We start from the raw sequence: 15,208 nt of genomic DNA on the forward strand, positions 1-15,208 counted from the left end.
ATGTGGAATACACAGCCATACATGGTCTCCCTTTGTTCTTAATGAAGACCTAGGCTGATCCCAATTCACCCTGCATAGCAGGTACCCTTTGCCCACGATGGGATATAGCAGCAGTCATTTCACACTTAGCCAGGAAACAAATGGACTTAGGAAGAGCTTCCACAATACAGGAGTATGTTAGAAATCAGTGAAGAAACATTCAAATTTGCTTAAAGCTCTCTTTCATAATGGAGTGAGCTCCTTGGAGAATGAGGAATGGGATACAAGTATTATTGGTTTAAGCCTTTAAGAAACTTTACATTGAGCCCCTCTCCAGGTTTCCATGACCATCTGCAACCATCTTTGTCAGCAATTAACCTGCATTTGTGCTTTAAAGCAAATTAATTTCAAACTCCATCAGTTCCTTGGTTCTCATCTCAATCTATTCCAAATCTGCCATGTCTCTGTGACTGCTGCACATATTGGAGTTCTGGGGTTTGCAAAGCCCTTCCAGCTCTTTCATTTCCCATTTGTGAATATTCCTCTTTGTGAATATCTCTTTCAGAGCATGTCTGCAACTCAAACTAGTAGTCATTTGTCTCTCACACATTAGACCATTCTAAAGGCAAGAACATTTTTCCTCATCTTTCTAGCCCTTATCTTGCCTTCCACATAATAGAATCTCAAAGAATTGGGTTGTAAAAGTTAAGAAAACTCAATAGTTACCTGTTGGCTTGTGTTTTTTTTTGTGTGTGTGACATCAAAAATGGATCTAGTATCATTCTTCTTCCGTATTAAACTCTCCTGATCATAAGATGTATGCTGAAATGAGCTGATATTACAGAATTACTCAACGCCAGAGATTCACAGACTTTTCTGCAAAGGCCCAGACATTTTAGTCCTTTCTGGTCTCTGTTGCAAACATTCATTTCTGCCATTGTTGCATGAAAGGAGCTGTAGACAATCTGTAAATGAATAGATGAAGTTGCATGTCAACGAAACTTTATTGATAAAACCAGTTGCTATAGGTTGAATTTGTCCCTCAGGTTGTAGTTTTCCAACCTCTCTAAACCCTTAACAGAAAGGTCTTGCACCATCCTGATGATGCAGAAACAAATGAAAGGTGGATGGAAACTACCCTGACCTTTGTTTTCTATTCAGGAAATTAAACCACAGGTGTTATTGTTTTTTTTAAAAAAAATGTTGTGCACAATGCCTTGTATCCTAACTACAGTGAACACCATTCCTCTTGCATTCATTTGCTTTTGTCTTCTCATTTATTACCACAATTTGTTTGTGAATCATTTGTCTTACTCAACAGTTAAATCTAGGGAAATAAGATTAACCAAATTCAGAAATGTGGGCTTGGGCTAAAAGTTCTTTTTTTTCCTATATTACAATGAAAGAAATTTTTCCTTGGTTTTCAAAAATTATTATGTTAATCAATTCATGTCTTTAGCAGGTGTGAAAGCTAAGGTTTAAGGGGCTATAAGCAGAGTCAGCATCTCATCTACAAACTCATATTAACAGATTGAGACACAGAACACAGAAAATCATTCTTCATCATCTCAATACTAAAACCATACTCATCTTTCACCTCTAAGGTCCCCTGTCCAAGAAGCAAACAAACAACAACAACAAAAAAAAACAAAGAAAGCTGTAGTGAGCTATGATCAGACCACTGCACTCCAGCCAAGGTGACACAGTGGGACCCCATCTCAAAGTAACAAACAAACAAAAAAGACAAGTCCATTGATCTGACTAGAAGGGCAGTAGTTGAAACTCTTTCCATAAGTTCGTAAGCTTTCTTTTTCATCTGGATAGTTTTCTTTAGTACAGTAGTTAAGTCATCTCAGAATGTATTTGAAAATCACATCTTAAAGTTTTTCTCAGACATTAGTTGAGAAAATGTAACCTGGAAAATTTCAATGGGAAAGTTCATAGTGTTTTGAGATGAGTGGAAAGTTGGGAATTTCTCAGGAACATGCTCCATGTTGGTTGTGCTATCTCGGTTTTTCAGGTTACCCTGACTCTGAGGATGAAACTTCAAAATCTTCTTGGTCTACAGTGAAAAAGAGCCATGCTGTCAGGGAACTCTGCCTCTTTTCCACATTTTCTCTTTTTTTGTGATGCAGGTTTCAATGAAATCCACTGATTCACACTCCATCTCTTTGGGTACTGAAATTTGGAGTCACTCTTAAAGTTTCACCAAATTCAAGATAATTTCTAACATTTAGTTGAGACTAGGTGGCCCTAGAAGATCCTGGAGCAGCATTTTCCACATTGTGCTTTGCAGATCACTAGAGACCCTCAGGGTCATGAAGTGGTCCTTCAAAAGGAGTTTCCTTTTTCAAATAGTTTGGGATGTGATTGCATAGCAAAGCAGACAATACTCAGTGCAGAGTTGCTGGGTCCAGGTTGGGGAGGAGACAGAACTCAACCCCAGAGGCAAAGTTTGGTCATGGGACCAAGTTGAGGCATAGCTAAAACAGGGCCAAGGCAGAAGCAGGTTTCCATCAGGCATGTCCACCAGTGTGCCATGTCAGTTACCATTGTCACAGCAACATCCAGGAGTTTCCACCCTTTTCCATGGCAATGTCCCAGTGACCCAAAATTTACTACCCCTTCCGTGAAATGTCTGCACAAACTGCCCTTTAATCTTCAGGAAATTAAAAGCAGCTATGAGCTAGGCACAATGGCTTACACCTGTAATCCTAGCACTTAAGGAGCTTAAGGTGTGCAGATCACTTGAGGTCAGGAGTTTGAGACCAGCCTGGGCAACATGGTGAAACCCTGTCTCTACTAAAAATACAAAAATTTGCTGGGTGTGGTGGCAGGCATCTGTAATTCCAGCTACTTGGGAGTCTAAGGCAGGAGAATCATTTGAACTGGGGAGGAGGAGTTTGCAGTTAGCTGAGATTGTGCCACTCACTCCAGCCTGGACCACAGGGTGAGACTCCATCTCAAAAAAAAAAAAAAAAAAAAAAAAAGTGGAGGGTATAAATGTAACACACTCTGGCTACGGGCTTATCCTATTCTGCAGGAAAAGTCACAAAGCTGTAACACAGCTGGAGCTGTAACATTGCCTCTTCAGTAAAGCTGTTTTCCTCCACCTGCGGCTTGTCCTTCAATTCTTCCCAGAGCAAAGCAAAGAACCCACAAGGAATAAGCCCTACTTTGTGGCTCTCCTGCCCTGCATCATGGGAACTTCTCAAAGATGCAGAGAGATCCTGAAAAATATGACCATGTTTAACTTTCTTCCAACCAATATCTCCTAAGCCACTGGAACAACACAAGCCATTTGTCTCAGGATGTTCAATAGTACCTCAGCAAGACCAGTGTTTCCTAAAACACGATAATGGAAAGGCTGCATAACCTCTCCAGTGCTTCTGAAGCTTTGATGCCTATGTCAATGCCTATGTCACGAGGATCTTATGAAAAGGTGGGTCTGAGTTAGGAAGTCTAGAGTGGGGCTGGAGAGTCTCTGCTTCTGACAAAATCCAAGGTGGGGTTGATGTAGCTAGTTCATGGACACAGAGTTAGTGAAGTGCTAAGAATCCACCCACTGAAATTGCTCTTTTGCTTCATTGAATCATACCAAGTAAACACACAATGTTGCTCAGCCTTTGTGGCTATTGTCTGAAATCCCACCAGGCCTGAGGCTTTAAGTCAAGCCCCAGCTTTCCAGCTGCACATTAGCATCATTTTGAAAGCTTTATAAAAAGCTGAATGACTGATGTCAAAATTATGATACTGAAATCTCTTGAGATTCTAGACATTTCAAAATATTGAGACAAAATGTACATAACATTCAATGAACTATTTTAGAGTGTATAATTAAATGGCTTCTAGTACTTTCACAATGTTGTGCAACCATTATCGCTTTTTTCTTACCCCCAAAAGGAAACCCAGTACCTGTTAGCAGTCATTCCTTATTCCCTGTTCCCATCCTCAGACCCCAGCAACCACTAATTTACTTCCTGTGTCTATGGCTTTTCTTATTCTGAATATTTCATATAAATAGAGTGATACAATATATGGTCTTTTGTGCCTAGCTTATTTCACTTAATCTAGCTGTTTCACTTAATCTGTATTGTAGCATATACCAGTAGTTTATTTCTGTTTATGGCTGGATACTATTAAACTCTATAGATACACCACATTTGTTTATCCACTACTCTGTTGATATACATTTGGTTGTTTCCAAATGTGATTATTGTGAAGAGTCCTGATATTAGTATTCAAACAACAGAAGCTGTTTGTCTTTACATGTCTTCGGACACCTGTTTTTAAAATTTAGGGGCATAGATAGATAGATAGATAATAGATGTGTGTGTGTACATATACATACACACATAAACACACACACACACACACACACATATTCATGGATGCCTGGGAGTGTAATTTCTGGTTCATATCGTACCATAGACTGAATGTCTCTGTCCTCCCAAAAGTCATACATACATTGAGATTTCAACCCCGAAGATAGAGCCATAAGAGGTGATTACGTCTTTGGGACGTGATCTAGGTGATGAGGGTGGAGGTGATGAGGGGTGATGAGGGAGCCCTTATGAATGGCATTAGTGTCCTTATGAAAAAGGCCCCAGAGAGCTCCCTCACCTCTTCCACCATGTGCCTTCTCCACCACACAGCGAGAAGACCCCATCTATGAACCAGGAAGCGGGTTCTCACCAGGCACTGGATCTGCTGGTGTCTTGATCTTTGAGCCTCCAGAGCTGTAAGATGGAAATGTCTATTGTTTATAAGCCACCCAGCCTATGGCATTTTGTTATGGCAGCCAGAGAGGACTAAGACGTACGGTAACTCCATTTTCACCTTACTGAGGAAATGACAAACCCTTTTTTCATGGTGACTGTGCCATTTTACATTCTCACTGGAGAATGTCACTGGACATTTATACCTTTTTAAAGGTTCCCCATTGAGTGCAATCAACAGCCATTGTGGACCACACTGCCCTGCAAGCAAGGACGACCTTGCTCACACACTGAAAACACATGTATTTAATTCAATGGGGTGCCTGAACCAATAGCATCAACATTACCTAGGAACTTGTTAGAAACACAGTTTCTAGGCCCAGCACAGTGGTTCACACTTGTAATCTAAGCACCTTGGAAGGCTGAGTTGGTCAGATTATTTGAGATCAGGAGTTTGAGAGCAGCCTGGTCAACATGACAAAAGCCTATCTCCAATAAAGATACAAAAATTAGCCAGGCATGGTGGGGAGCCTGTAGTCCCAGGCAGTTGGGAGGCTGAGGCAGGAGAATGGCTTGAACCTGGAGACATAGGTTGCAATGAGCTGAGATTGTGCCACTGCAATCCAGTCTAGCCAACAGAGCAAGACTCCTTCTCAAAACAAAACAAAACAACAACAACAATTTCTTGGTCCCCACCCTGAACTGACTGAATCAGAAACACTGGAGGCAGAGAGGGGTCACTAACTATTTTATCAAGCCCCCCTCCCACCAAGGAGATTCTATTAAGTTTGAGAACAGATGCTCAATCTATAATTTTATAATTTGCAATAGTTTCACTTCAGCCTTTATGACATGTGCTTTCTCACATCATATATTATTATTTGAAAACAAAATTTAACATCTACTTGTAATATTTTAATATAAAGCAAGCCCACTATGTACTTAATCATTATATTTGGGGCCATTTGATTTTTTCCATTTTTTATAAAATACAAATAATACTCAATGAATACTCTTGACAGTAAATATTTTCACACCTCTCTGAATATTTCCCTTAAATTCAGCATCATGATTACTAAATTATAGAGTTTACACATTTTTATCTTTATGGTGTTTTGGCCACTTCATTCAGCCTGAACTTTTCCTGTTGATGGAGAACTAATACTTCCATTCATCACAAACTAGGAAGGCAATAAGGGTTATTGGCTATTTTTATTTTATTGCAAATACTGCTGGATTACCAATTCATTCTCGTTTAATTTTCCTCTCAAGCCAGGAGAAAGAGATAATGTATATATTAATTATATACATTATATAATTATATACATTAATTATAGTCTCACTGGTTCCTTGCTACTTATGATGCTTTGCCCAGCTTTTTATTTCTAAGTCCTTGTTTCTTTACATACATCTAAACCATGACACTACCCTACCTACTTCATGGTATAGAAAATAATGATAGAACTTGTGCAGAAAGCCCTTTGTAACTGCTGAGCACAATATAACATGTGAGGTACTTTTATAACTATACTCAATGCTGTGAAAATTTCACACACAGAGGACCTCTGCAATGGAAAATCCTCATTTTCTTTGAGCCAAGACTTTCATCAGCCTGGCCTAAGCTGTATTCTGAATTCCTAAGGGATCTGCAGAAGCTTTAGTATTCACATACGCATATTTGGTGACTATATTAATACACTACCTAAATTTCTGGGATTTGATTCACTTTAGGTAGAATTTGTAAATAGTGTGTTTCTGGCTTATTTTTTATTTCTTCCTGCTTTTTTTTTTTTTAAAGTCATGTGCCAATTCCTTTGCATCCATCTTTATGGAGCTTGCTTCAGCTGCTTTTTGGGGAAGAGGCAGTAGAGAAACAGAAAAACAATCCAACAAACAAGCAGATAGATACAGATAGATAGATAGATACAATGTAAGATCTATTTGATACTTTCTCTTCCTTTCTGAACCTATATAGCATGGTGTATATTTAAATGGAAACTATAACACCTGCAAGAAAACAGGTAATGCTTTCCATTTTCACCAGTTGAGTGTAAAGAGCCTCAGATTTCTGTCTAAATTAGGACAATTGTAGACTTTGAGAGCTGTAAATGAACAGTAGTCTACTACAGTGCTTTAATAGCTTCGAAAGATACCTGTCCCCCACAACACACACCCATGCTACAAGTACTTTCTCTTCCAATAAGGATTCACTTTGAAAAGACTGTTTTGAGACATATAATGTTATAGGAGTTATTAAGAAATTATTTTAGGCATATAGAGAGGAAAAAGGGTCCTTGGGATGTTTTCATTTATTTTAAAGTAGCTCTAGAAAGTTTTTTTGTCTAGCAGGAAATCCCTGGCTGTTAGAGCCTGCAGGCAAACTTTGATATGCAAATGCTGACCATGAGACACTGGGTCCACCCAAGCATGATGATTCCCATGGTCCTTACCTTGCCCCAACATGTGCCTGGTAATAAGGCCTCTCTCACATATCCACAGGTGCATAGACCATCATGGTGCCATGCATTAGTATTTTAAAAAGCTAGGGTGGGAGGGACAGCTTTTTCTCTGGCTACATGAATGACATGTCTGGTCAAACCATATAAGCAGCCACATATCACTCCCCCACCACCAGCCCACAACACAGGGTTTCTTTTTGTTGGAATGCCCCCTCCCTCTGTCTCTGTATGGGGCAGCTGTTTTCTCCTTCCTTCCTTCTTTCTTGGCTATTAAACTTTTCATTCCTTAAAAACACTCCACATGTGTCCATGTTGTTAATCCTATCCACATGAGACCAAGAACATTGGTGTTTCTCCAGTCATTGGAGCCTGATCAATAAGAGAAGCTGTTGGTATGCCTTAATTAGGGCAAATGAGAAGAGGGCTGTGGAAACAACTTGACAGATTGCTCATCAGAGCAGAAAGAAGCTTCTATGTCTTTTCACAGTCACACTGTCCCATTTACATCCCTGAAATATTCTCTTTCCCCAAGAGTTGCTAAGCAGGCAATCCCAAAAGGGGAGACTTGGAAACACCGTCTATCTGGAAGAGGACCTACCCCACACTCTGGTAAAGAATAGGGTATCTATACATCCTCAATGAAGAAACTGAGCGGAAAAGCCAGGATGATGAGGCTTCCAAATTTATTTGCAACCTTAGGCCAAGCTCCCAAGGCCAGCTACCTAAGAACTGCCACTTTGCCCTCTTTGATTTCCAGGGAATTAATACACCCCAAGTTCAGTTGCATGTCACCTGCAGCCTGGGAGAAACATGGTGACTTGGGGCTCCCTGCAAGAGACATGATGTGTGATTCAGCCCCTTTTGATGCAGTGCTTAAGGAAATATCAGGGAGCAGAGAGTGAATAATCATTTGCATCCCGGGTGCCACAGGCAGCTTTCCAAGAGGGAGCCTGCAGTAGCCAAGGCTTCCAAGGAGGCCAGAGACCCCTGTTTAGTTTTGAGCTCAGCATGGGGAAAGAAAGAGAGATAGAGAGAGGAAGAGTGACCATTTCCAACAAAGTAGACAAATGAAGGGTTAAATAAAAACAGTGGTATCCATGGAAGAATTGGGAGAGCACACTGTCTGGAGCCTTTATTTTATGTTAATCACTCCTGTAGTTGCTACAGCCTCAGAAAGACACATTTCTTATGCAGACAGTGTTCGTTGTCAAAGGCTGATCAAGGATGCAGGAGTGTGGCCACAAAATGAATTAGCTCTGTGGGTACCAAATGGAAAAACCAGTTCAAACCAGAGCATGGCACACCAGCTCCAGTAAGGGAGGAGACCACCCCTTATATTATCTTCTGCCCAATTTGTGCCTCCAAAGAAAGGAGAAGTAAAAACTAAAAGGCACAAATAAATCCATAGGCAGACAGCCCAGCACCACACCCTAGGCCTGGGAGTTAAAGATCAACCCCTGACCTATTGGTTATGTTATATATAGATTTCAGAATTGTATGGAAAAGCACTCTGAAAATCCCTGTCCTGTTCTGTGCTGATTATCGGTGCATGCAGCCCCCAGTCACATATCCTCTGCTTGCTCAATCAATCACAAACCTCTCACAAAGAACCCCTTAGACTTATAAGCCCTTAAGAGGTATAGGAATTGCTCACTCAGGGAGCTTGGTTTTAGAGACATGAGTCTTGCCAATGCTTCCAGCTGAATAAAGCCCTTCCTTCTTTAACTTGGTGTCTGAGGGGTTTTGTCTGTAGCTCATGTTCCTAATTTCTTGGTTCCCTGACCAGGAAGCAAGGTGATTAACAAACAGTTGAGGAAGCCCCTTAGGCAGCTTAGGCCTTCCCTGTGGAGCATCCCCATGGGGGACTCCAACCAGCTTGAACAACACAGATACTGCGAATGCTCACAGGTAGGCAATTGCTCAAACTATAAAATTGTGTGTGTGCCCTCTTTACTTGCTTTTTGTTTTGTGGTGTGCATGTTGTGTGAGTGTGGTGTTTTGTCTCCAGGAAACAAAGGTCAGGCACAAAATAACCCCATCCCACAAGGAACTATGATGAAAAATGTCAAAAAGGGATTTAAGGGAGACTATGGAGTTACTATGATGCCAGGAAAACTTAGAACTTTGTGTGAGATAGACAGGCCAGCATTAGAAGTGGATTGGCCATAAGAAGGAAGCCTGGACTGGTCCCTTGTCTTGAGGATATGGCACAGGGTAATCTGTAAGCCAGGGCACCCAGATCAGTTCCCATATATAGATTCTTGGTTACAACTGGTTTTAGATCCCCCACAATTTTTAAGAGGATAGGCAGCAGCAGTACTAGTAGCAAAGGGACAGTTAGTTAAGGAAGGCTTTTGCTCCACCCACCAAGGGAAGTTGGTACCAAAAGTCCTGTCCAACCCAACAGCAGAAGAATCATGGCAGGAATTGGTACCAGCAGTGCCCCGTCCTTATCAAGAGGGAGGGCTTCACACTCCTGAACCCACAGCACCTCCATGTCCACCAGATATCCACACTCCTAGACCACCAAGAGTAGACAAAAGAGGAAGTGAAGCCATGGGAGAAACTCCTCCCTTGGCAGCTCACTTATGGCCCAAGGCTAGAATCCAAATGCCCCTGAGAGAGCAGCAATATATTTGGGTAGATGAGGAGAGACACATGGTGGAAAGGCATGCCTTTATGTATCAACCTTTCACCTCTGCTGACCTCAATTGGAAGAATAATACTCCTTCTTACACCAAAAAGTCTCAAGCTTTAATTGACTTGCTCCAAACTATTATATAGACTGACAATCCTACTTGGGCTGATTGCTACCAGCTGCTCAGCTGCCAGGAACAGACCCCCAATGGGACCCAATCAAGGGACCAAACATGGAAAGGCTAAGATGGTACCATGAGGCATTAATAGAAGATCAAAGAAGGGGTTTCAAAAGGCTACAAATGTAAATAAGGTCTCTGAGGTCATCCAAGGAAAAGAGGAGAGTCCAGCGCAATTCTATGAAAGACTGTGTGAGGCTTACCGTATGTACACTCCTTTTGATCTAGATAGCCCTGAAAATCAGCGCATGATTAACATGGCCTTAGCTAGTCAAAGTGCAGAAGATATCAGGAGAAAACTGCAGAAACAGGCTGGGTTTGCATGTATGAATACCTCGCAGTTACTGGAAATAGCCAATTAAGTGTTTCTGAATAGAGATTCAACAAGCCGCAGAGAAAGCTGTAAGGAAGACGAATGTCAGGCTAGGTGAAATGCTGACTTACTGGCTGTGGCCACTAGGGGAATTCCCCCAAAAGAAGAGGGAAAAGGGGGTTCTGGGAAGGATACCCAGTCTAATTGCCCACACTTGCAATGTAACCAATGTGACTATTGTAATGAAATAGAACATTGGAAAGATAAGTGTCCCCAAGTGAAGGAAAAGTAATGTGATTCAGAACAAAAGACCTCAGCTAAAGATGAGGGAGCTTTTTTCAATCTGGCTGAAGGGCTATTAGACTGAAGGAGACTGGGCTCAAGTGCCCCCCAGGATTACAAAGGGGGGCAAGGACATTAAGTTTTTGGTCAATAATGGCGCTGACCATTCAGTAGTGATCACCTTGGTTGTCCTCTTAACCAAGAAAACTGTTGTTATAATCAGAGCAACAGGAGTTTCCACTAAGCAGGCTTTCTGTCTACTGAGGACCTGCTCAGTGGGGGGACATGAAATAGTTCACCAGTTCTTGTACATACCTAACTGTCCCTTGTTTTGCTGGGAAGAGACTTGCTTAGCAAGCTGACATCCACCATCTCCTTTACAAAACAGCACTCTTTACAGCTAAAGTTACGAGGAACAGGAGTTAACATGGCCCTTAGGGTCCCCCTGGAAGAAGAATGGAGACTTTTTCTAACTGAGACAGGCCAAGAGATAAAACCAGCTCTAGTAAGTGATGGCCCCAAGTATGGGTGGAGGATAATCCTCTGGGAGTGGCAGTCAAACAACCCACCTTTCCCATAGAAGTTAAGCCCAGGGCCCAGTCAATTAGACAAAAGCAGTATCCACTTCTCAGAGAAGCTCTCAAAGGAATCCAGGTTCATCTCAGGCACTTGAAAGCCTATGGAATTATAGTTTCTTGCCAGTCTCCATGGTACACCCCGCTCCTGCCTGTACCTAAGCCAGGGACCAAGGACTTTCAGCTAGTACAGGACTTGTATTTGGTCAACCAAGCTACAGTGACTTTGCACTCAACAGTTCCTAACCCTTACACATTGTTAGGGCTGCTGCCAGCTGGGGACAGTTGGTTTACCTGTCTGGACTTAAAAGATGCCTTCTTTATCATCAGACTAGCTCCTGAGATTCTGAAGCTGTTTGCCTTTCAGTGGGAAGATCCAGAGTCAGGTATCACTACTCAGTGCACTTGGACCCAGCTTCCCCAAGGGTTCAAGAACTCCCCTACTATCTTTGACAGGGCTCTGGCTCGAGACCTGTAAAAGTTTCCTGCTAAAGACCAAGTCTGCATCTTGCTCCTGTACATGGATGACCTTCTGCTTGGACACTCCATGGCAGTTGGGTGTGCAAAAGGGACAGATGCCCTGCTTCAGCACCTGAAGGACTGTGGGTAAAAGTGTCCAAGAAGAAAGCTCAGATCTGCAGACAGCAGATGCTACCTGAGATTCACTGTTCAGAAAGGGGAGAACAACCTGAGGTCAGAAAGAAATCAGGTCATCTTCAGCTTGCCAGAACCTAAAACCAGAAGGCAAGTAAGGGAATTACTAGGCCTGTGGGGTTTTGCACATTATGGATTCCAAACTTTGCAGTACTAGCCAAGCCATTGTAGAGGGTTACAAAGGGGGATGACCGAGAGCCTCTATAAGCCCCTTTGAATGGGGGCCTCTACAACAGAAGACTTTTGTAAGTTAAAGGAAATACTTATGTTGGCCCCAGACCTAGGACTACCAGATTTGACAAAGCCCTTTACACTGTATGTGTCTGAAAGAGAAAAAATGGCAGTTGGAGTTTTAACCCAGATTGTTGGGCCCTGGGCAGGACCAGTGGCCTATCTCTCAAAACAACTAGATGGGATTTCCAAAGCCTGGTCCCTTTGTCTAAGGGCACTGGCAGCAATGGTCCTGTTAGAACAAGAAGCAGATAAACTAACCCTTGGGCAAAATCTGAATATAAAGGCCACCCATGCTGTGATAACTTTGATGAATACCAAAGGACATCATTGGCTAACAAATGCTAGATTAACCAAGTACCAGAGCTTACCATATGAAAATCCCTCATAAACATAGAAGTTTACAACACCCTAAATCCTGCCACCCTGCTCGCAGTAGCAGAGAGCCTGGTCAAGCATAACTGTATAGAGGTGTTGGACTCAGTTTATTCTAGCAGACCTGACCTTCAGAACCAGCCATGGGCATCAGTAGATGGGGAGTTACGTGGAAGGGAGCAGCTTCATCAACCCACAAGGAGAAAGATGTGCAGGATATGCAGTGGTAACTTTGGATGTTGTCATTGAAGCCAAACCATTGCCATGGGGCACTTCAGCCCAGAAGGCTGAGCTCATTGCTTTAACTCAGGCTCTAGAACTCAGTGAAGGTAAGAATGTAAACATCTACACTGACTCTCAATATGCCTTTCTAATCCTTCAAGTGCATGAAGCATTATATAAGGAAAAGGGTCTGTTAAACTCTGGGGGAAAGGACATAAAATATCAACAAGAAATTCTACAATTACTAGAGGCAGTGTGGAAAACTTAAGAAGGTGGCAGTCTTGCACTGCAGGGGATACCAGTAAGCCTCCATATCAGTGGCCTTAGGAAACTCTCGAGCTGATTCAGAAGCTCAAAAAGCAGCGTCTACCCCTTACCGGGCATTGGTAGCAGCTGGCCTACTCCCTCAAACACCTGACCTGGTACCTACCTATTCTAAGGAAGAAAAAGACTTCTTCCACGCAGGAGGGGGCCAAGTAATAAAAGAAGGATGGATCAGACTGCCAGATGGGTGTATAGCTGTGCCACAGTTGCTGGGAGCCACAGTCATACTGGCCATGCATGAAACCACTCATCTAGGTCAAGAGTCACTTGAAAAGTTGTTAGGCCAGTACTTCTACATCTCACACTTGCCAGCCTTTGCCAAAACAGTAGCACAACAGTGCATTACTTGCCAATAGCACTATGCGAGGCAAAGCCCCATGGTTCTGCCTGGCATATAAGCTTATGGAGCAGCTCCTTTTGAGGATCTTCAGGTGGATTTCACAGAAATGTCAGAATGTAGAGTTAACAAGTATTTGCTGGTTTATGTGTGTACTTACTCCCGGTGAGTGGAGGCTTATACAACATGAACTGAAAAGGCCTATGAGGTAACCTGTGTACTTCTCTGAGATCTTATTCCTAGGTTTGGACTGCCCTTATGAATCAGCTTAGATAATGGGCCAGCATTTGTGGCTGACTTAGTACAGAGGACAGCAAAGACATTAGGAACCACTTGGAAGCTACATGCCACCTACAAACCTCAGAGTTCTGGAAAGATGGAGCAAATGAATCGGACTATCAAAACTAATTTAGGGAAAGTATGACAGGAAATAGGATGAAAGTGGATATAGGCCCTTCCTATGGAGAGGTGACAGCTTGCTGGCAGCCCTCACAGCCCTTGCTTGCTCTTGGCACCTCCTCAGCCTTGGTGCCCACTCTGGCCATACTTGAGGATCCCTTCAGCCCACTGCTGCACTGTGGAAGCCCTTTCCTGGGCTGCCCAAGGCCAGAGCCGGTTCCCTCAGCTTATGGGGAACTGTGGAGGGAGAAGCATGGGCAGAAACTGGGGCTGCGAGTGACACTTGCAGGCCAGCATGAGTTCCAAGTGGCCGTGGGCTCTGCAGGCCTCACACTTGGAGCAGCCGCCCAGCCCGCAAGCCCCAGGCAGTGAGGGGCTTAGCACTGGGCCAGCAGCTGCTGTGCTCGACTTCTCACTGGGCATTACCTGCCTCCCCACAGGGCAGGGCTCAGGACCTGCAGCCTGCCATGCCTGAGCTTCTCCCTGCTATGGGCTCCTGCGCAGTCTGAGCCTCCCCAACAAACACCGCTCCCTGCTCCATGGTGCCCAGTCCCATTGAACACCCAAGGGCTGAGAAGTGTGGGCGCACAGTGTGAGACTGGCAGGCAGCTCCACCTCTGGCCCCGGTGTGGGATCCACTGTGTGAAGCCAGCTGGGCTCCTGAGTCTGGTGGGGACTTGGAGAATCTTTATGTCTAGCTAAGGGATTGTAAATACACCAATTGGCACTCTGTATCTAGCTCAAGGTTTGTAAACACACCAATCAGCACCTTGTGTCCAGCTCAGGGTTTGTGAATGCACCAATCAACACGCCGTATCTAGTTACTCTAGTGGGGAAATGGAGAACTTTTGTGTCTAGCTCGGATGGTAAATGCACCAATCAGCACCCTGTCAAAATGGACCAGTCAGCTGTCTGTAAAACAGACCAATTGGCTCTCTGTAAAATGGACCAATAAGCAGGATGTGGGTAGGGCCAGATAAGAGAATAAAAGCAGGCTGCCTGAGCCAGCAGTGGCAACCTGCTGGCTGGGGTCCCCTTCCACAATGTGGAAGCTTTGTTCTTTCGCTCTTTGCAATCAATCTTGCTGCTGCTCACTCTTTGTGTCCACATGACCTTTATGAGCTGTAACACTCACCGCAAAGGTCTGCAGCCTCACTCCTGAGCCAGCAAGACCAGGAACACACCATAAGGAAGAAACTCTGAATACATCCAAACCTCAGAAGGAACAAACTCTGGACATGCCGTCTTTAAGAACTCTAACACTCACCACAACGGTCTGCAGCTTCATGCTTGAAGTCAGTGAGACCAAGAACTTACCAATTCCAGACACACTTTGGCAACCACGAAGGGACCATCACCTATTGCCAAGGGGTGAGACTATATCTGAGCAGTGAGACCATCACCTATCACTGAAAGGCATGACTGTCACTTATCACCAAGCAGTGAGTACCATTGGACCCCTTTCGCTTGCTATTCTGTCCTATTTTTCCTTAGAATTTGGGGGCTAAATACCGGGCATCTGTA

General features: G+C 43.4%; 1 long non-coding RNA gene across 1 annotated transcript in view; it reads right to left on the bottom strand.

Annotated features, from left to right (window-relative positions):
* Positions 1–871: 871 nt before the first annotated feature.
* LOC107987355 (uncharacterized) overlaps positions 872–15,208 on the bottom strand; it is a 118,030-nt gene continuing 103,693 nt past the window's right edge. The window contains exon 3 of the long non-coding RNA XR_001756089.1: positions 872–944. This is a non-coding gene — a long non-coding RNA (uncharacterized LOC107987355). The remainder of the gene's footprint in view (positions 945–15,208) is intronic.

This window comes from Homo sapiens, chromosome Y (genome assembly GCF_000001405.40).
Source record: "Homo sapiens chromosome Y, GRCh38.p14 Primary Assembly".
NCBI classification, from domain to species: domain Eukaryota; kingdom Metazoa; phylum Chordata; class Mammalia; order Primates; family Hominidae; genus Homo; species Homo sapiens.